At 38.9% G+C, this 20290-nt stretch overlaps 2 protein-coding genes and 1 non-coding gene across 6 annotated transcripts in view; 1 reads left to right on the forward strand and 2 right to left on the reverse strand.

Moving 5' to 3' along the window:
- Nucleotides 1-14349, forward strand: part of SLC30A4-AS1 (SLC30A4 antisense RNA 1) — a 51695-nt gene extending 37346 nt beyond the window's left edge. Inside the window, exon 4 of the transcript XR_007064611.1 lies at nucleotides 11414-14349. The gene's annotated coding sequence lies outside the window, so the exon portion shown is untranslated. The remainder of the gene's footprint in view (nucleotides 1-11413) is intronic.
- SLC30A4 (solute carrier family 30 member 4) overlaps nucleotides 1-20290 on the reverse strand; it is a 43150-nt gene that overhangs the window by 6094 nt on the left and 16766 nt on the right. For 2 of the 4 annotated variants that reach the window (NM_013309.6, XM_017022560.3), the window contains 4 exons: nucleotides 5029-5182; nucleotides 3142-3343; nucleotides 1828-1933; nucleotides 912-1046 (listed from right to left, as the gene is read on the reverse strand). In NM_013309.6, coding sequence (NP_037441.2) covers nucleotides 912-1046; nucleotides 1828-1933; nucleotides 3142-3343; nucleotides 5029-5182 — 597 coding nt within the window. Of the gene's footprint in view, nucleotides 1-911; nucleotides 1047-1827; nucleotides 1934-3141; nucleotides 3344-5028; nucleotides 5183-16348; nucleotides 17268-20290 lie in introns of those variants that run through there. The other 2 variants (NM_001321036.2, XM_047433023.1) reach the window with 1 other exon arrangement.
- LOC124903596 (small nucleolar RNA U13) lies at nucleotides 5885-5988 on the reverse strand. The gene has a single exon (XR_007064824.1). It is a non-coding gene; the product is annotated as a small nucleolar RNA U13 (small nucleolar RNA).

Below are 20290 nucleotides of genomic sequence, written 5' to 3' on the forward strand. Positions count from 1 at the left end.
GCATGGGAAATATTCTTTCTTTTTTTTTTTTTTTTAAGATGGAGTTTCGCTCTTGTTGCCCAGGCTGGAGTACAATGGCGCCATCTTGGCTTACTGTAGCCTCTGTGTCCTGAGTGCAAGCAATTCTCCTGCCTCAGCCTCCCGAGTAGCTGGGATTACAGGCACGTGTCACCACGACTGGCTAATTTTTGTATTTTTTAGTAGAGATGGGGTTTCATCATGTTGGCCAGGCTGTTCTTGAACTCCTGACCTCAGGTGATCCACCCACCTTGGCCTCCCAAAGTGTTGGGATTACAGGCGTGAGTCAACGCGCCAGGCCGGGAAATATTCTTTTTTTTTCCGAGATGGAGTCTTGCTCTGTCACCCAGACTAGACTGCAGTGGCGCAATCTCGGCTCACTGCAACCTCCGCTTCATGAGTTCAGGCAATTCTCCTGCCTCAGCCTCCCAAGTAGCTGGGATTACAGGCATGCACCACCACGCCTAGCTAATTTTTGTATTTTTAGTAGAGACGGGGTTTCACCATGTTGGCCAGGCTGGTCTCAAACTCCTGACCTCAGGTGATCCACCCGCCTCAGCCTTCCAAAGTGCTAGGATTACAGGTGCGAGCCACCATGCCAGTCAGGAAATATTCTTAATACCTTTAATCTGAAGGTTAAAATCAGTTTGTAATATCTCAAAGAGATAGAAAATTATTGTTCTGGTATCAATACTGACCTGCAACTTACCCTTTAAAGAGCCTTTTGTTTAAGGCTGTTAACAAAAGCCTTTGTTTTTTAAAGACAAAGGCTTTTGTCTTAAAACAAATCTTTTCAGCAGAAAAGTCTTCCTACATAATTATAAGCAGGGATGTTTAGTTTCAAAGGCAGAAGTCCACCAACCCCAGGCCCACATTTACTACCAGCAACATACTTAGCTGTATGTGAACTATGGCAGTAGATTTTCCTGAAGTGAGAGACCAGATATTTAAATCTTCGACTGAATATACATCTTCTATTTTCATCAAGGCTTCTTTGATATAGTCTACATTCAAATGGCTTGGCACACCTATTAGGAATATATAATTTCTAAGTAAAATTTATTTTGGAAATAAAGGAACTTTTACATTACCGATGACATTTATCAAAGAAAACAAATGGCTTTGCTAAATTCACTTTAAACAAATACTTTAAAATATTAATACTTCAAGATAAACCATGTACACATATATTTTTATTAAAAATGTAAGATATATACAAGAGGGTAATACATACTTTAAAAACATATTCATTCTCACTAAAAAGGAATGCCAATCAAACCAGAATACTTCATTAACAGATAAACTAAGAAAAAAAAAAGGAAAAAAGAAAAGAAAAGAACATATAATGATAATAAGCCTATTGTTAAGAACTTTTATTTTCATGCTTACACATAATATCAGTAAGGGAAGAATGCAGTAAATACAACAAAGTCACAAGTTAAGTGGGAATTAAGGAATTAATACATAATCTAGAATTGCATTTTTGTCCTAGTGCCACAGTTTATTAGCAACATGACCTTAACCAAAGTATGTTATCCCTCTGAACCTCAATTTTCTTATTTGTAAATGGGGATAATTTACCACATTATCTGCCTTACCTACTTTGCTTAGCTATTATAAGTGTCAAATGGGTAAAAGATGGGAGAGTTCATTAATTCTTACATGTTACATACATGTAAGGTACTGTTATATAGCCTAAAAGGTATTAGTAAAAAGCAAAAGATGTAATTCCTATTCAGAATGTCCCCTGACTCCCAATCTGCTTTAGGGAAGTAATAAACTCATAATGAGGATATAGTGAGATCTTACCTTCTAGTATTATAACTACTGTATCCCATATGATTCGAAATGTTGTAAAAGCCACAAGTAATGAAAATACGTATGTACAGATGGGGTCAGCAATCTTGTATTCTGGCTAAAGGGTAATAGATCAAAATTTATGATTAAATAGACAAATATAAAACAGACTGCAAAGCAAAGCAAGGAATATGTCCCTTCTTGCTTGATTTTCTTTAGCAGAATTACAGAATACCTTTAAAACTTGGATATTGTAATTGAAAAGCATCTTCACTCTATCCTAGACAGTTTACGTTACTTGCCTCATGGGACCTATTTCCAGAAATGTAATCACTTGTTCTATTGTTCCTTGTGCCATCTCTAAATGTTCTAGAATATCAGAGCTGGAAAGAAGTAAGTGTGTGTGTGTGTGTGTGTGTGTGTGTGTGTGTCAAAGCTGGAAAAAAGTGTGTGTGTGTGTGTGTGTGTGTGTGTGTGTGTGTGTGTGTTGCCCAGGTTGCTCTTGAACTCCTGGGCTCAACTGATCCTCCAGCCTCAGCTGGGATTATAGGCACAGCCACTGTACTCAGCTCTGGAAAAAGTTTTAGCAGCCACTAGTTTAAGCCCCTTGTAATAAAGAAGAGGGAACTCAAGTTTAGAGTTCAGGTATTTGCTTTCAAGGTCAAAGCATTAATGGCAGAGCCAAGACTAGAACCCACTCAGATCTCTGGATTTTCAGTCCAGTGCACATTTTACTACCTAGTAATTCAATCACGAGTTTTAAAATTGAGTTATCTGGGCAATCATGGTGGCTCATGCCCGTAATCTCAGCACTATGGGAGGCTGAGGTGGGTGGATCACTTGAGGCCAGGAATTCGAGACCAGCCTGGCCAACATGGCGAAACCTTGTCTCTACTAAAAATACAAAAATTAGCTGGGCATGGTGGTGTGTACCTGTAATCCCAGCTACTTGGGAGGCTGGGGCATGACAATCACTTGAGCCTGGGAGGCGGAGGCTGCAGTAAGCCAAGATTGTGCCACTGCATTCCAGCCTGGGCGAGAAAGTGAGACTCTGTCTCAAAAATAAATAAATAAATAAATAAATAAGAAAATTGATTTATCCAGTGAAGGCACTACAAAAGCCAAATACAGATAAGTTACCCTGTGACGTGATATCATTTTGTTTACTGCTAACAAAAGAACTATAATGATTGTCAAGTAAACTTACATCAATGTAAAATGAATAGAACTGGCACTGGTGTCCAGTATACTGATATGACAATCAGCCTTAGTTTTCATGTTGAAATTAAGTACATTTTAAAATAGAAAAATTACCAATCATATTACCTTGAATCGTATGATGTATGCAGCTATTAGCACACCAACACTCTGTACCAAATCTCCCAAAGCATGTACAAATGCAGCTCTCACTGCCAGGCTATCCTGCCCATGGTTACGTTCACACCCAGAACCTCTGGTAGGGGAATTTGAAGGCAGGGAGTGGGAATGGGAGTGACGGTGACCAGACTGGTTCAACAGAAACCCCATTCTGTTAAAAATAAAAGAAAACATTATTATTTTTCCCAATATTGACAAAAACATTTGTCACTAGTCAGACACTAATGAGGTAACATGGAACTCATTTATTTAATAAATTTGGAGCAACTATTATTTATCAGTACTGTTCTAGGTACTTGGGTCAAAACAGTGGTAAGATAGACATATCCCTACCCCCATGGAGCTTATGTTCTAGTAGAGAAGGCAGAGAAGCCAACAAATAAGTACATAAGGTATAGCCAGGCAATGTGAAATGCTTTGGAGAAACATAAAGCATTGTAAGGGGATGGAGGATGATGGGCAGAGTGGTAAGGGAAGGCCTCTCAGATTTTCTCTAAGCAGATACCTGAAGGAGGTCAGAGAGCAAGTGGTGGAAGAGTGTTCTAGGCGGAAGAATAGCAGAGCAAAGGCCCCAACATGAAAATGTGCTCTGTGTACTTGAAAAAAGAAAGCAGCCACTGTGGGCCAGAATAAAGTGAGCAAAAGTGCTAGGAGATGAGTGGTAGAGGTACACAGAGTCTTACTAACAAGGCTGCAGTAAAAATTTGATTACATTCAGGGACTGTTGTGGGGTGGGGGGAGGGGGGAGGGATAGCATTAGGAGATATACCTAATGCTAAATGACGAGTTAATGGGTACAGCACACCAACATGGCACATGTATACATATGTAACAAACCTGCACGTTGTGCACATGTACCCTAAAACTTAAAGTATAATAATAATAAAATTTAGAAAAAAATTCATTTCATTCTAAGTACAAATAGAAGCCACTAGGGCAGGGATTGGTAAACTGTGGCTGGTAGATCATATTTGGCTCACTGATTTTTTTTTTGTACATAAAGTTTTATTGGAACACAGCCATGTTCATTTGTTTACATGCTAAGTGTGGCTGCTTTTGTTTTATAACAAGTGTTGAGTAGCTTTGAAAGAGAATATATAGATCTCAAAGCTTAAAATATTTACTATCTAGCCTTTTACAGAAAAAAAATTGCTGACTCTGGTCTAAATGATTAAATCTGTTAACTTCAACTTTATTATTTTTTGTTTGTTTGTTTTTAAGACAGGGTTTTGCTCTGTTGCCCAGGCTGGAGTGCAGTGGCCCAATCATAGCTCAATGCAGTCTTGATTGCCTGTGCTCAAGTGACCTTCCCACTTTAGCCTCCCAAGTGGCTGGGACCATAGGCACGAGCCACCGTGCCTGGCTAATTTTTATTTTTAGAAGAGATGAGGTCTCACTATGTTGGCCAGGCTGTCTTGAACTCTAGAGCGCAAGTGATCTTCCCACCTTGGCCTCCCAAATTGTTGGGACTATAGGTGTGAACCACTGTATGTGGCCTAACTTAAACTTTCAAAACTTTCTTCCCTAAAAAGTTTTAAGGGAAAAAAATTGATAGCTTAAGAAAAAAAATCTAGTTAACACAAAAGTATTCTAAAAGTTAAACAAGAACAAAAAACTTTGTCCTACTTAAATTCATGATTTTGACTCAATCTCCAATATACCTGGGCAAACTAATGAGGAATTTATAACGTCCATAGTGTTTCATTTATCAGAAAAGTTAATGAGTTATATCATTTTTAAAATATCAAAATATCACTGAATATTACTGAATGCATATGCAATAGTCTCTGAGTTCACAGTACTTGAAAATATTAATGTGAAAAAAATAGAGCTTACATTACATTAACTGCAACTCCAACAGCTGCGGTGATGAGCATTATATCTCCATTTATTTCATAGTTCATATGGATAGTTCTTTGCACAGCTTCATATAAGAGGAATCCCATAAGTATATACACCAACAGCACACTAATCATAGCTGACAAAACCTCTAGAGGGAAAAACACATATAACAAATACATTTTCAGCATGGTTACTACACTTCATACCAACTAAATATTATATAGTCTTTTTTATATTCTTTCCTCTAAGGAGATAAAAGCCCTCTATTGTTTCTGTCACGTCATTTTTCTTATTTATTTTTTTGAGACAGGGTCTCACTCTGTCACCCAGGCTGGAATGTAGTGGCCTGATCATGCATGGTTCACTGCAGCCTTGATCTCCCAGGCTCAAGTGATCCTCCCATCTCAGCCTCCAAGTAGCTGGTACTATAGGCACATGCCACCACACCTGGCTAATCATTTTTCTTATTTAAAATGTGTTTAGCACTTACAGAAAAAAAAAGTGGTTAGCAGCTTGACTGATATGGATCCTCCACTAATTTACCCTTACCTCTCCCTACCCTCCACTCCTCTCTCTCCAGGGTCAAATTATGTATATTTACAGACCATGCACAAGGTAGAAAATGACAAAATGAGAAAAAATATTTGTCACGTATGTGATCACAGACTAATTTCTTGATAGAAAAAAGTACACTCAAAAGTCAGTAACAGGTAAGGTGTGGTGGCTCATGCCTGTAATCCTCCAACACTTTGGGAGGCTGAGACGGAAGGATCACTTGAGCCCATGAGTTTGAGATCAGCCTAGGCAACATAGTGAGACTCCGTCTCTCTTGGTTTTTCCCTTCCCTTCATGTCAAATGGGTAATGTGCCAACGTTGTAACAAGGTTCCAGGGTGGCACGTCTCACACATGTATGTGAACACCTAATTATCAAGCTCATGAACTACAAGAGGATCAAGACTCTATCTCTAAAAAACACATTAAAAATTAGCTGGACATGGTGGTGAGCACCTATGGTCCCAGCTACTCAGGAGGCTGAGGTGGGAGAATTGTTTAAACCCAGGAGGTCGAGGCTGCAGTGAACCGTATGCTACTGGACTCCAGCCTGGTCTCCAGAGCTGTCTCAAAAAAAAAAAAATCAATAAGAAAATTCATAATAAACAGAAATGGCCAAATTCTCAAAATCAGTCATAATAAATGAAATTCAGATAGGAATAAGATTTATTTCCTCCTATTAAATTGGCAAACTTTTTTTAAAAATCAAAAGTTTGATAATAGCCAGAGTTAGCAAGGATCTACCGGTGGAAGTATCAAATAGTATTACCTTTTTAGAGAGCCAATTGGTAAAACTAATCAAAACTTAAAATGTGTACATTACTTGATCTAACAATTGTACTTTTAGGACTCTACTTGATAGAAACACCTGCATGTGTGCAAAGATATCTACAAGGCTTTCACTGTAGCATTGTCTGTAGCATCCAAAAAAAAAAAAAAAAAAACTCTGGAGACATCCTAAATGTCCACCAAAGAGGAACTTCATAAGTTATGATTTATACATATATAGTGGGGATACCACACAACCATTTATTTTTTAAAAAAGGAAAAGAAGAAAAAAAATCAAACAAATTGATAATCACAAGAAAGTATTACATTTGGGAAGTGGTACTAGAAGTTTAGGGGATTTATTTTTCACTGCATTATTTTTGGTAATATTTAAAGTGTTTTAAGTTTTTACCATAAATGCATATTACCTTTAGACTAAAAAAATTTTCTTAAGGCATGCAAATATTCATGCCTTCATGAAGGCTATTAATTAAACGTTGTATATAATAGCAAATTATTGGAAACAACCAAAAAAGTGATTAGTAGGGACCTTGTAAGGTGGAATACTATGCATGTATAAAGAAGAAAAGAGCTTATTCTGGTAAGGAATAATGCCCAAAACATAGTGTTATGTGAAAAAAAGCAAAGTACACAACTGTGTATGATACATTACCATTTGTATAAAAAAAAAGAAAAAAGAGAATATATAAATAATCACCTGTAAATGCAATCTCCAGAAGGATTATACAAAATACTCATAAAAAACTAGTTATCTTGGGTGAGGAGAACTGGTGGCTGGGAGACAGGGATGACCTTGCCCTATATATGCTTTTGTACCATTTGAGTTTTTTACTATATAAATATGAAGCAAAATAATTTTGTATCTTTTCAAAATAACAAAAAGAGCAATGTGAAGTACATTTAAAAACAGTAAGGCCAGACGCGGTGGCTTATGCCTGTAATCCCAGCACTTTGGGAGACCAAGGCGGGCGGATCACCTGAGGTCAGGATTTCAAGACCAGCCTGACCAACATGGCAAAAGCCCGTCTCTACTAAAAATACAAAAATTAGCTGGGCATGGTGGTGGGTGCCTGTAATCCCAACTCCTTGGGAGGCTGAGGCAGAAGAATCGCTTGAACTCAGGAGGAGGAGGTTGCAGTGAGCCAAGATCACACCACTGCACTTCAGCCTGGGTGAAAATTAACATTATTATATGAAACAAGCGTTAACCCTCAAACAATAAAAGGAAGAAAATAATTTAAGGAATATTTTTCCTTTAGAGAAACCTGACACTAATCCTGTAAGTGTTAATAGGTAAAATAATCTGGAAAACTGTTATGTGGAACAACTCATTGCTCAAAAGTTGGTTAAGTATATTGGACTCTGACACATTTTCATTTCAATTTATAAATTATAACACAAAAAAATTATCTAGCAATTATAGGCTATTTCCTGAAGACACCTAATGTAGTTAAAACTCCTATAAAAACCGCTGGGCATGGTGGCTCACGCCTGTAGTCCCAGCACTTTGGGAGGCCGAGGCGGGCGGATCACAAGGTCAGGAGTTCGAGACCAGCCTGGCCAATATGGTGAAACACTATCTCTACTAAAAGTACAAAAATTAGCTGGGCGTGGTGGCGGGCCCCTGTAGCCCCAGCTACTCAGGAGGCTGAGGCAGGAGAATTGCTTGAACCTGGGAGGGTGGAGATTGCAGTGAGCTGAGATTATGCCACTGCAACCCAGCCTGGCCGACAGAGTGAGACTCTGTCTCAAAAACAAAAACAAAAAAAACACTCCTATAAAAACCTATGCATCAACAGAACAGATATAAGAATAAAACAAAAACATACCATTTCTATTCAAAAACCATGGAACACCTATTTCTAACATACAGATAATCATACTTTGAAAGAGATTAATATATTTTTAAAAGAGATATAAGCTGAAAAAGAGAAAAGACCAAATGAAATATACAAAGCTATGGAGAGACCTCTATATTAAGTACAGACTATACACTCTTTGAGGATATGGTCCAAGTCTTATTACATGTCATATTTACTGTAGTACTTAGGAGAGTAGTTCACATTGATAGCAGGTATTCAAATATTTATGGATGATTTTTTAGAATGAAATTAGTCAAGGGTTAAGCAAGGGAAGATGATAAAAGGCTATACAATTAAGAAAATGAAGCTAAATATGAATAATAGGTTATTACTTAATACCCCAAAAAACAAAAAGTAAATAAGTTAAAAGAGAAGGTGTAAGCCAAATAAAAAAAACACAAGGGATTTCTTGTCAAAGTTATAACTGCTGATGGTGAAGTACACATATAAAAATACTGTAAAGAGGCTGGGTGCGGTAGCTCATACCTGTAATCCCAGCACTTTGGGAGGCCCAGGTGGGCGGATCACCTGAGGTCAGGAGTTCGAGACCAGCCTGGCCAACATGGCAAAACCCCATCTCTACTAAAAGTACAAAAATTAGCTGGGCATGGTGGCAGCTGCCTGTAATCCCAGCTACTCAGGAGGCTGAGGCACAAGAATTGCTTAAACCTGGGAGGTGGAGGTTGCAGTGAGCTGAGATCACACCACTGCACCACTCCAGCCCGGGTGGCAGAGCGAGACTCTGTCTCAAAACAAAACAAAACAAAACAAAACTGTAAAGAAGAAATAATTTTAAAAATTCGAAACTGTAGAATCTCATGTGCTTGTGGTAGCCTCCTACCACCAGGAGAACTTTAACCAAGTACCAAGGCTGAAGCTAGCAGTTAGCTCACCATAGTTTTTAAGGTGCCCTAATCAAAATTTTAATATAAAAATTATAAAGCACGTGGTGGCTCACACCTGTAATCCCTGCTACTTGGGAAGCTGAGGGGGGAGGATCACTTGAGGTCAAGAGTTCAAGACCAGCCTGAGCAACACAGTGAGACCCTGTCTCTCCCCCCAAAATTGGCCAAGTGTGGTGGTATATGCCTGCTGTCCCAGCTACTTGGGAGGTTGAGGCGGGAGGATCACTTGGAGTTTGAGGCTGCAGTGAACTGCAACAGTGCCACTACACTCCAGCCAGGGTGAGAGTGAGACCCCTGTCTCTCAAAAAAAAAAAAAATTACAAAGCAATACACTTTACACTTATAAAGATTCACAGCCACATAAGTTAATGACATAGAGATGTGCTTGGTTATGAAAATTTAAAATTCATAATTAAAAATTACTTCAAAACCCCTTATATAATTAGGTTGTCTATACTTTCCAATTTTTCTGGGATAGTCCTAGTTTATGTTTGCTGTTCTGGCATAATTATGAATAGAGCCCCGTTTCACTCTCAAAACTGTTCTGGTTTGGATGATAAATTATAGTTACCCTAGTAGGTCTGTCAGATATAATATTGGATGCCCAGTTAAATTTGTATTTCAGACAACAAATAATTTTTTAGTGTAAGTATGTCCTACGCAGTATTTCAGATATATTAGGCATCCTATGAGTATGCTAAATCTGGCAAATCCCACACTCCAGTGATTTTACTAAACCACTTAAAAATCGCCTTTTTGTGAATTCTCAGATAAGGCAAACCTACATTCAAGATAAAGTGAAATGAAAGTCAAACACAGCGCATGAACAGAGCTCCTTGGCAGAAGGACTCCCACCCTTACAAGGCCCACTATATTCTGGCAGCCTGCAGCTGAAAAGTCAGTTCTCTATGCCACAGTTTTCACTCACATGAGAAGGATAAGAGATTCTAATACCTGCCTACGTTAACAGTAATGGAATTCAGCTGATTTCTAGAAACTCCCAAAATGGCATATTAAGATACTGCTATCAATGATATCCCTTTTCTAGTCATTAATAAGGAATGTGCCTCATTAATAAGGAATGTTGTTCCCTTGGTGAAAAGCAAAGACACTAGTCTGTTATCTTTTATAACAGTTATATGTCTTCTGGGATATAGACATATATCCCAAAATGTCTTCTGGGATAGAGTAGTAATAAATGCAAAAGGGAAAAAAAGTAAACTTTTAAGTAGATTGTTAGGGCTGAGATTTATAATTGGAAGTATAAAGCAAAGACAATACTATCTAACTAAAAATTCTAAGAGCAGAAATATAATCATTTATTCTGATAAAACAAAAAGCTCTTTCATTTGAATACATTAAGCTTTGGTGAAATACCATAAATAGGACTAACTTAGGGTTTAAAAATTTTTCCTTCATAATATTCTTAACATGATGGAATGCAGATAAAAACGGGCAAGATTCCGCTCCCTCCCACTCCCCCATTTAAGAGAGAGGGAAGCTTTCAATCAACAACCAAATTATGACCTGCTCCAATTTTCTCATTCTTGTTCTGGGTTGGTCTTCGGTCACATAACTTACAATAAAGTTTTCCAAGACAAAAGGAGTAAATTTCGGATTACTATTTCATTTTCTTAAAAGAGACTCAGGAACTTTCACAATTAAAATTCTGGATTTCTGTGAAAGCTACCACCCCATTAGCTTTAGGTAAATTCGTTTTTTTAAATAGAGACAGGGTATCACTATGTTGGCCAGGTTGGTCTTAAACTCCTTGCCTCAAGCAGTCCTCTCACCTCAGCCACTTTAAGTGAACTTGAATGGTCATCTTTCAATCAAAATAGAAATTTAGCATTTAAAAGTCTTGAAAAATGGCCGGATGTGGTAGCTCATGCCTACAATCCCTGCACTTTGGGAAGCTGAGGAGGACAGATTGCTTGAGCCCAGGAGTTTGAGACCAGCCTGGGAAACATGGTGAAATCCCATCTCTGAAAATATAAATAAATAAATAAATAAATAAATAAATAAATAAATAAAATAAATAGGTGTGGTAGCACATGCCTACAGTTCTAGCTACTCGGGAGGCTGAGGTGGAAGGATAGCTTGAGCACAGGAGGTCAAGACTGTAGTGAGCCTTGATCATGCCACTGCACTTCAGCCTGGGCAACAGAGCAAGTCCCTGTCTCAGAAAAAAAAAAGATTTTTATGAAAATACTACAAAACCATTAATATAGTTTTGTTTTATTTTGTTTTGTTTCTCTCTGTCACCCAGGCTGAAGTGCAGTGGCGCAATCTCGGCTCACTGCAACCTCCACCTCCCAGGTTCAAGCAATTCTCCTGCCTCAGCCTCCCGAGTAGCTGGAATTACAGGCACATGTCACCATGCTCGGCTAACTTTTTGGTATTTTTAGTAGAGACGGGGTTTCACCATGTTGGCCAGGGTAGTTTCAAATTCCTGACCTCAGGTGATATGCCAGTATCAGCCTCCCAAACTGCTGGGATTACAGGCATGAGCCACCGCACCCGGCCTAATATAGTTTTTAAAACATATTTTGCCAGCTAAGTCTACACATACATAATTAAATCACTCCACTTGGCTGAACTGGAGCATGAGAGGAGGGAGTAAGATGAGTTAATATGTGTATTTGCTACAAGATCACGGGTCTTTTCATTTGGCTGAAATACAAACAAATGTTTATAGTCAATGATCTAATAAAAACTAAAATACACCCTGAATTTCATATATAGAGAATAAACAGTTTGAATGGCTAATAAATGCTAAAAGAAAAAAATAAATAGGAGAAAACATAGATGATTATCAAGTTTTAATAGTACTATATGAAAATTGTTTACTGCATATTTTAAAACATCAATAAATTGCCAAAACTAGGAGTTTTCAAGGTTCACATGAAAAACACTGGATTCCTTCGCTGTCATCCTCTGTTATTTTCCATCAAGTACCTTATTCTTTCTCTTCCTAGGATTTATTACAATTTATTATTATTTTTATGTTTGTATACATATGTACTACCTATTTCCCCACCTATACTATTATTCATTCATTCAACAAGTAACTATGAGGCACTATAACAATATTTGCTTCAACTATGTAAACCACACACAACCCAAACATATTTATTTTCATGGGTGTTGTATAAATGTACTGGCCTACCATAACTGTTAACTTTGCTAATGCTATGATGCCAATAATGAGTATTGTTCACTTAACAAAACTCAGTTACAGTTTCACTTAAACTATGTAACACTTGTCTTTCCATTGCTTAAAAAAACTATATATAGCAAATATCTGAAGACAGGTTTCAGAGGTCTATAAAAATGAATAGGGAAGGAGAGTGGAGCTATATCCTCTCTTCTAATTCCTTTTGTGCTATTTTTCTTTTCTACCTTCTTCCAATAGAGGATAGGAAGGAAACAGAAGGAAAAAGAGTGGGCTATATTGGATTTGCCTAGGACTTCTAAACTAGTACACGTTGAGCACCCCTAATGAGAAAATTCAAAATTCGAAATGCTCCAAAATTTGAAACTTTTTGAGCACCAATATGATGCTCAAAGGGGCATTTCAGATTTTGGATTAAGGATGCTCAACCTGTATTTGTATTTCAACTCAGGCTAAAGACATCATAGAGGATTTTCAGTGGCCCACTGTCACCACCAGAATGGCAAGCTAAACTCCAAAGTTTGTCTTTCGATCTCCCCTTCCATTATAAATAATCTCCTACTTCTGCTTATTGCTCCCCCTACAACACACCCAAGATGCCTACTACTCTCAAGCTGACGTCTAGCTATCCAGCGTGGACTACCTCACTCATGTCTTCTTTCAGCCTCAATAAAAACTCCCATCCCTAGGAAGTTCTAGGAATTTATTCTTTTCCTATAGATGTTTATTTGATGTGATTAAATTCTAAGATGTGAATAATTAATAGGCATAACTTTTGTCAGTGGTGGGAGGAAGTTGTCAAAATGAATCACTAACTAGGAGATTATAGGTTATTTTTGGCTGTGTGTTTGCGGGAAGACTTCTTAGCTAAATAGTTTTCTATCCATAGAGCAAGAGGGGATAAAAAAATCCCAACTACATGGAATTAGCATTGTAACCAGGTACCTAACCCAGGACAATCCATCATCTAGCCAGCTCTGCCAGGGTTTCTGCTCAGTAAAACTATGTATCATTAGGAAAGACATCTATCCTATACTGTCACTTAGCCATGAGCCTAGGCTGATTTTTTTTTTTTTTTTTTTGAGACGGAGTCTCACTCTGTCACTCAGGCTGTAGTGCAGTGGCACCATCTCAGCTCTGCTTCCTGAGTTCAAGCGATTCTCCTGCCTCAGCCTCTCGAGTAGCTGGGACTACAGGTACCCACCACCATGCTTGGCTAATTTTTTTGTATTTTTAGTAGAGACGGGGTTTCACCATGTTAGCCAGGATGGTCTCAATCTCCTGACCTCGTGATCTGCCCGCCTTGGCCTCTCAGAGTGCTGGGATTACAGGAGTGAACCACTGTGTCTGGCTCAGGCTGATGATTTTTATTACCATAGTGCAAATCTTGCTTTTTATTTCAAATACAAACAACTCTGCTTACTACAGTCCTTTCACATGAGCATTATCTTTATCTAATTCGCACAACCTCTTCAGCCCACCGTCTGGAAAAAAAACCATATAAATATAGTCAATTACTTTCACCAGAAGGACAGAAGGATAGAAGGATAGAGGCAGAAAGCAAGCAAGCGGGTGGAGCCTGTTCTCTTTAGAATGGCATTTCCTCTTTGTCTGGAAAAGAATGCTATTCCTCCTGAGAACTTGTGGGATTTCTCCTACAGTGTGGTTTCATTACATTCAAAATTGTATTACCTTCCAGAATAAGATAGCATGCCCACAATCAAATAAATCCAGGCATTTAAAAATAACTCGCATATGGCCCCTAACCTGCTCTCCATCTTCCTACAAAAAGCTGATTGTAGTTTATTATAAAACAATAATGAAAGAAAATAGATGAAAAATAAAAACCTGAATGATTTTATACAATCTATGGTCTCACATGAAGGAAAAGTAGCAACAGAACAGAACTGACTCCTGGAATAGCCACTGTATCCCACAAATCTAAGACTACCCTTCTTTCACCTTGACTGATTTTTGCTAAAATGAACTGTTACATTGCAAATAAATTACCAAAGACTTATGAGTTTAAAGAGCATGTCTTGAAAAACTGTTATTTAATCATCAGAGTGAATCATCTTTTTTCCTACAATTTAGCTAAGAATTCTGACTGGGGGAGAAGAACGGTAGGCCATTTTGGAGCATGGAGCATCTTGAGAGATATGAAAAATCTGGGTAAGATGATATACAGGCAGGTAGAAGAGGGAAGGAAAAACAGAAGGCTGAAACTAACTTTTATTGGGAATTTACTCTATGCCAGAACCATGTTAGGTACTTTATTTTCCTTACCACATTATTTACTTTTCACAATTCTGCAATACAAATATTATTCCTAGTTTACAGAAGAAGAAACTTCTAGTTCAAGAGAGTAACTTACTCTCCAAAAGGTCATATAGATGGATCTCAGATTTGAACAAAAGATGATTTAGCCACGAAGTTCTAAGTGGTAAGAACTAAAGCAAACAAATAGGATCAGCCCCTCACTGAGATAAGGAAGAAAAAATTCCCTTCTGACAAATTTCTTTCTATACCCAAAATGGACCTTTAAGTCAGGTGTACAACCAGTACAACAGTACTATCCAGCTATGTTAAGGGTCTGTCTATCTATCTATCTATCTATCTATCTATCTATCTATCTATCTATCTATATGTTTTTGTTTTATTTTTATTTTTTTATTTTTTTTGAGACGGAGTTTCGCTCTTGTTGCCCAGGCTGGAATGCAATGGCACCATCTTGGCTCACCGCAACCTCTGCCTCTCAGGTTCAAGTGATTTTCCTGCCTCAGCCTCCCAAGTAGCTGGGATTATAGGCGGCCGCCAACATGCCCAGGTAATGTTTTGTATTTTTAGTAGAGATGGGGTTTCACCATGTTGGCCAGGCTAGTCTTGAACTTTTGACCTCAGGTGATCCACCCTCCTCGGCCTCCCAAAGTGCTGGGATTACAGGCGTGAGTATTTTTATAGTCTATTCTGTGAACATGACCACAGTTTTAGAATTATAGAAAAATGTGGCCAGGTGCGGTGGCTCACGCCTGTAATCCCAGCACTTTGGGAGGCCGAGGCGGGCAGATCACGAGGTCCGGAGATCGAGACCATCCTGGCTAACATGGTGAAACCCCGTCTCTACTAAAAATACAAAAAAATTAGCTGGGCGTGGTGGCAGGCGCCTGTAGTCCCAGCTACTCGGGAGGCTGAGGCAGGAGAATGGCGTGAACCTGGGAGGCGGAGCTTGCAGGGAGCCAAGATCGTGCCACTGCACTCCAGCCTGGGCAACAGAGCGAAACTCCATCTCAAAAAAAAAAATTATGGAAAAATGTTTTCAAGTTCCAAATATTTAGTCCCAAATTACAAAAACACCACTACTCTGAGTTTGGTAACTGGTTTCATTTACTCCCAAAACAAATGATTTAAGGATTATGCATTGTTCTAAATTGTCTGTTCCACAGCTTTCATGCCCTTATTTATTCAGCCTGAATACGCAAATTTATGTTTTTGTCTTGTTTTAGACAGAGTCTTGCTCTGTCCCCTAAGCTGGAGGGCAGTGGCGTGCACATAGCTCACTGCAGCCCTGACCTCCTGGGCTCAAGTGATCCTCCTGCCTCAGCCTCCTGAGTAGCTGAGACTATAGGTGCATGCCACCATGGCTGGCTAATTTTTTAAAAAGTTTTTGTAAAGATAGGGGTCTCGCTTTGTTGCCCAGGCTGGTCTCAAACTCAAGGGCTCAAGCAAACTTCCTACTATGGCCTCCCAAAATGCTGTGATTATAGGAGTGAGCCACCACACCTATCCAACAATTAGTGCCAGACACAGAGAGTTTAATATTACCTGTTCCTGTCCCTATTTAACTCATCATCTAGGAGACAGAGTTTCATAAAAATAGCTATAAAAGATGTGATAAATGCTGCTAACCACATATAAATTATTATGAGAACATGACATAGAGGATGATACTACTAATATCTAACTATCATTCACAGACACGAATCCTTTTTTTAAAAAATCCAAACTCATAAATAAATCAAACACGGGTGATTTCATTGTAAAAACAATTGTTTATTACATATTATATATTAGTGACTTTTTACTTTTTTTTTTTTTTTTTTGAGACAGAGTCTCACTCTTGTTGCCCAGGCTGGAGTGCAATGGCATGATCTCAGCTCACCGCAACCTCCACCTCCCGGGTTCAAGCGATTCTCCTGCCTCAGCCTCCTGAGTAGCTGGGATTATAAGCATGTGCCACATGTATTTTTAGTTGAGATGGGGTTTCTCCATGTTGGTGAGGCTGGTCTCGAAATCCAACCTCAGGTGATCCACTAGCCTCGGCCTCCCAAAGTGCTGGGATTACAGGCATGAGCCACCGCACCCAGCCTATATTTTTTTATTTTTTTGAGACAGGGTCTTGCTCCATCACCCAGGCTAGAGTGCAGTGGCCCGAACATGGCTCACTGTAGCCTCAACCTCCTGGACCCAAGCAATCTTCCTATCTTAGCCTCCCAAGTAGCTGGGACCACAGGTGTGTGCCACCACATCTGCTAATTTTTCTTTTTATAAAGACGGGATCTCCCTGTGTTGCCCAGGCTGGTCTCCAACTCCTGGGCTCAAGTGATCCTCCTGTCTTGGCCTCCCAAAGTGCTGCAATTAGAGGTATGAGCCACAGTGCCTGGACTATTAGTGACTTTAAAAGGTTCCATTCATCAGGCCTGGTGCAGTGGCTTATGGTTGTAATCCCAGCACTTTGGGAGACTGAGGTGGAAGGATAGCTTGAAGCTAGGAGTTCAGGACCAGCCTGGCAACAAAGCAAGACCATGTCTGTACAAAAAATTAAAAAATTAGCTGGGTATGGTGGTATATGCATGCAGTCCTAGCTACTCTGGAGGCTGCGAGGGTAAGATTTCTAGAGCTCAGGAGTTCGACGGTGCAGTGAGCTATGATGGTGTCATTGTATTCCAGCCTGGAAAACAGAAAAAGACCGTGTCTCGAAAAAAAAAAAAGACTCCATTCATCTAAAGATAATTTACACACGAATTTCAGAAATACATCTGCCTGTTTGTCTATTATCAGTTTCTATACACCTTCACATGTGTAATATACTTTTATTGAATACTAGATAATCCAAATTAGATACATGTATCAGCTGTAATTTGACATTAACCACAATATAAGTAAATATTAAAAACTCTTTATTACAGAAGGAGAAGCAAAGGCACAGTAAAACTATTTACCCTAGATCAACAGGACAAAAGAAGACCTGAAATTAATTTTCATTTCCTCATTTAATATTTTATTCAATAAAAGCTAATCCTTTTAGAAGGTCATGGACTCACTGGGCATTGTGGCTCACACCTATAATCCCAGCACTTTGGGAGGCTGAGGCGGGCGGATCACAAGGTCAGGAGTTCGAGACCAGCATGGCCAATATGGTGAAACCCCGTCTCTACCAAAATACAAAAATTAGCTGGGCATGGTGGTGGGCGCCTGTAGTCCCAGCTACTCGAGAGGCTGAGGCAGGAGAATCGCTTCAATCTGGGAGGGGCAGGTTGCAGTGAGCCAAGATCGAGCCACTGCACTCCAGCCTGGGTGACAGAGGGAGACTCCATTTCAAAAAAAAAAAGTCATGAACTCAAAACAAAAAAAAACAAACAGGCTGTGCATGGTGGCTCACGCCTGTAATCTCAACACTTTGGGAGGTGGGAGGCCGAGGTGGGCAGATCACCTGAGGTCGGGAGTTCAAGACCAGCCCGACCAACATGGAGAAATCCCATCTCTACTAAAAAGACAAAATTAACTGGGTGTGGTGGCACATGCCTGTAATCCCAGCTACTTGGGAGGCTCAGACAGGAGAATCGCTTGAACCCAGGAGGCAGAGGTTGCGGTGAGCTGAGATCGTGCCATTGCACTCCAGCCTGGGCAACAAGAGTGGAACTCAGTCTCCAAAATAAATAAATAAATAAATAAATAAAAATTTAAAAACAAGAAAAAATAGCTAATCTTTGGGTTACAGAAGAAACAAAAATGATTCCTTCTTCACTCCAGACCATTTGGAGGAACTGAGAGGGGAAGTAATAGCCTCCAGAGTAACTAAATAGACAGTACTTGATCATGTAAAGCTAATTCTCTATAAGAAAATTCCAGATTCAGTTTAAACTGTACAGAAAGAACTAATGGGAAGAGGAGAAAACTAAAATGTGAATAGCATATAACAACATCACTGTTTTACCATCAAGTAGAATTGCTCCTTCAATTTCTTTTATTTCTACCTTTTTAGCAAAACTATTCTCACTTGGGTGAGAACCCATTTTCATTGGTACTTCAAAACTATTCATAAGCAAAAATCAGTGTCAAAAATATTTAGTAACTTAAAAAAAACAAAAAGTATAAGTAGAGACGGACAAGAACTCCTCCTGCTTTCTCCCACTGGGCTCATCGTATTTCTGTTCCATTACATAAGAGACTAAAACTGACAAACTCTGTTTTATCGCTAACACCTAAAAGCAATAAATGTGATTTGTTACCATATTATGATAAAATTTAACCAAAAAATTTTAAAGATCGGATATTCTGCAGTTTACAGTGACATTTATGTATATATGCCTAAAAGCTACATATAAACCTTGAATTCATTTAAAATTATTTCCAAAGAATAAATGAAGGCTGCTTTTGAAGTGCCAGGCATTTTTCTAATTACTTTACAAATATTAACTCATTTAATATTTGTAATAACTCTATTATAAAGTAGGCACTACTATTAGTTTCCTTTTACAAATAGAAAATGGAGGCACAAAGATGTTAGGTAACTTGCCCAAGGTCAAACTGGTAGGAAGTTAGGGAGCCAGAGCTTGAGCCAAACTATTGGTCTCAGGGTCTGTTCTCTTGACAACTTCTCTTTGTTGCCTCTCATGGGTCCTTGTAAATACCAATCAAAAGTCTACAATCAACCGGGTATGGTGGCTCACGCCTGTAATCCCAGCACTTTGGGAGGCTGCGGTGGGAGGATCACATGAGGTCGGGAGTTCGAGACTAGCCTGGCCAACGTGGTGAAACCCCATCTCTACTAAAAATACAAAAATCAGCTGGGAATGGTGGCACACGTCTATAATCCCAGCTACTTGGGAAGCTAAGGCAGAAGAATCGCTTGAATCCGGGAGGTGGAGGTTGCAATGAGCCAAGATTGCGCCATTGCACTCCAGCGTGGGCAACAAGAGCAAAACTCCATCTCAAAAATTAAAAAAAAAAAAAAAAAGAAAGAAAAGAAAAAAAAAGGCTACAATCAATAGTCCATAAATAAATATAAACCAATCTAAAGCCTACAGAGAATGTGATCTTTTAAAGCAGAAACACATCCATATAACAACTAAAATGGCAATTACAGCTAAGCTATGGTTTGATATTTACTATTGTCAGATAGAGTGTAAAATTTCATTCTTCAGTGTAGAAGAAATTCCCAGGAAATCTAATTTTCTGCTTCCTCATGCAGAATCCCAAGACAATATCCTGTTTTCAATTTTTATTCAAAAGGAGCAAGGGAATATTACTTCTATCTGAATAGTTAAGTGGTTGTTCTCCTCCTTTAAGCTCTGACATTTTCAAACCAGAAGCTTCTATGTACTGTTATAAAGTGATCTGGAGGTGGAACTCTATATAGAATCACTGCCTCCAGGTCTAGAGTTGAGTATACAGTATACTGCCTATTGCATAAAAAAGGGTGGTGAGAAGCAGGATATGAACATATATATGTATTTGCTTATGTTTTCAAAAGGAAGTGCTGGAAGGATAGGCTAGAAACCAATTAAAAGGGTCTACTCTTATGGAATGGTATGGGGAGATGGAGTGGAGGGGAATGAAAGCAAGACTTCTCTGTGTTTTCTTTTAAAAAATAATTTTTGGCCAGGCATGATGGCTTATCTCTGTAATCCCAGCACTTTGGGAGGCCGAGGCGGGTGGATCACTTGATCTCAAGAGTTCAAAACCAGCCTG

The sequence above is a fragment of the Homo sapiens genome, chromosome 15 (genome assembly GCF_000001405.40).
Source record: "Homo sapiens chromosome 15, GRCh38.p14 Primary Assembly".
Classification (NCBI taxonomy): domain Eukaryota; kingdom Metazoa; phylum Chordata; class Mammalia; order Primates; family Hominidae; genus Homo; species Homo sapiens.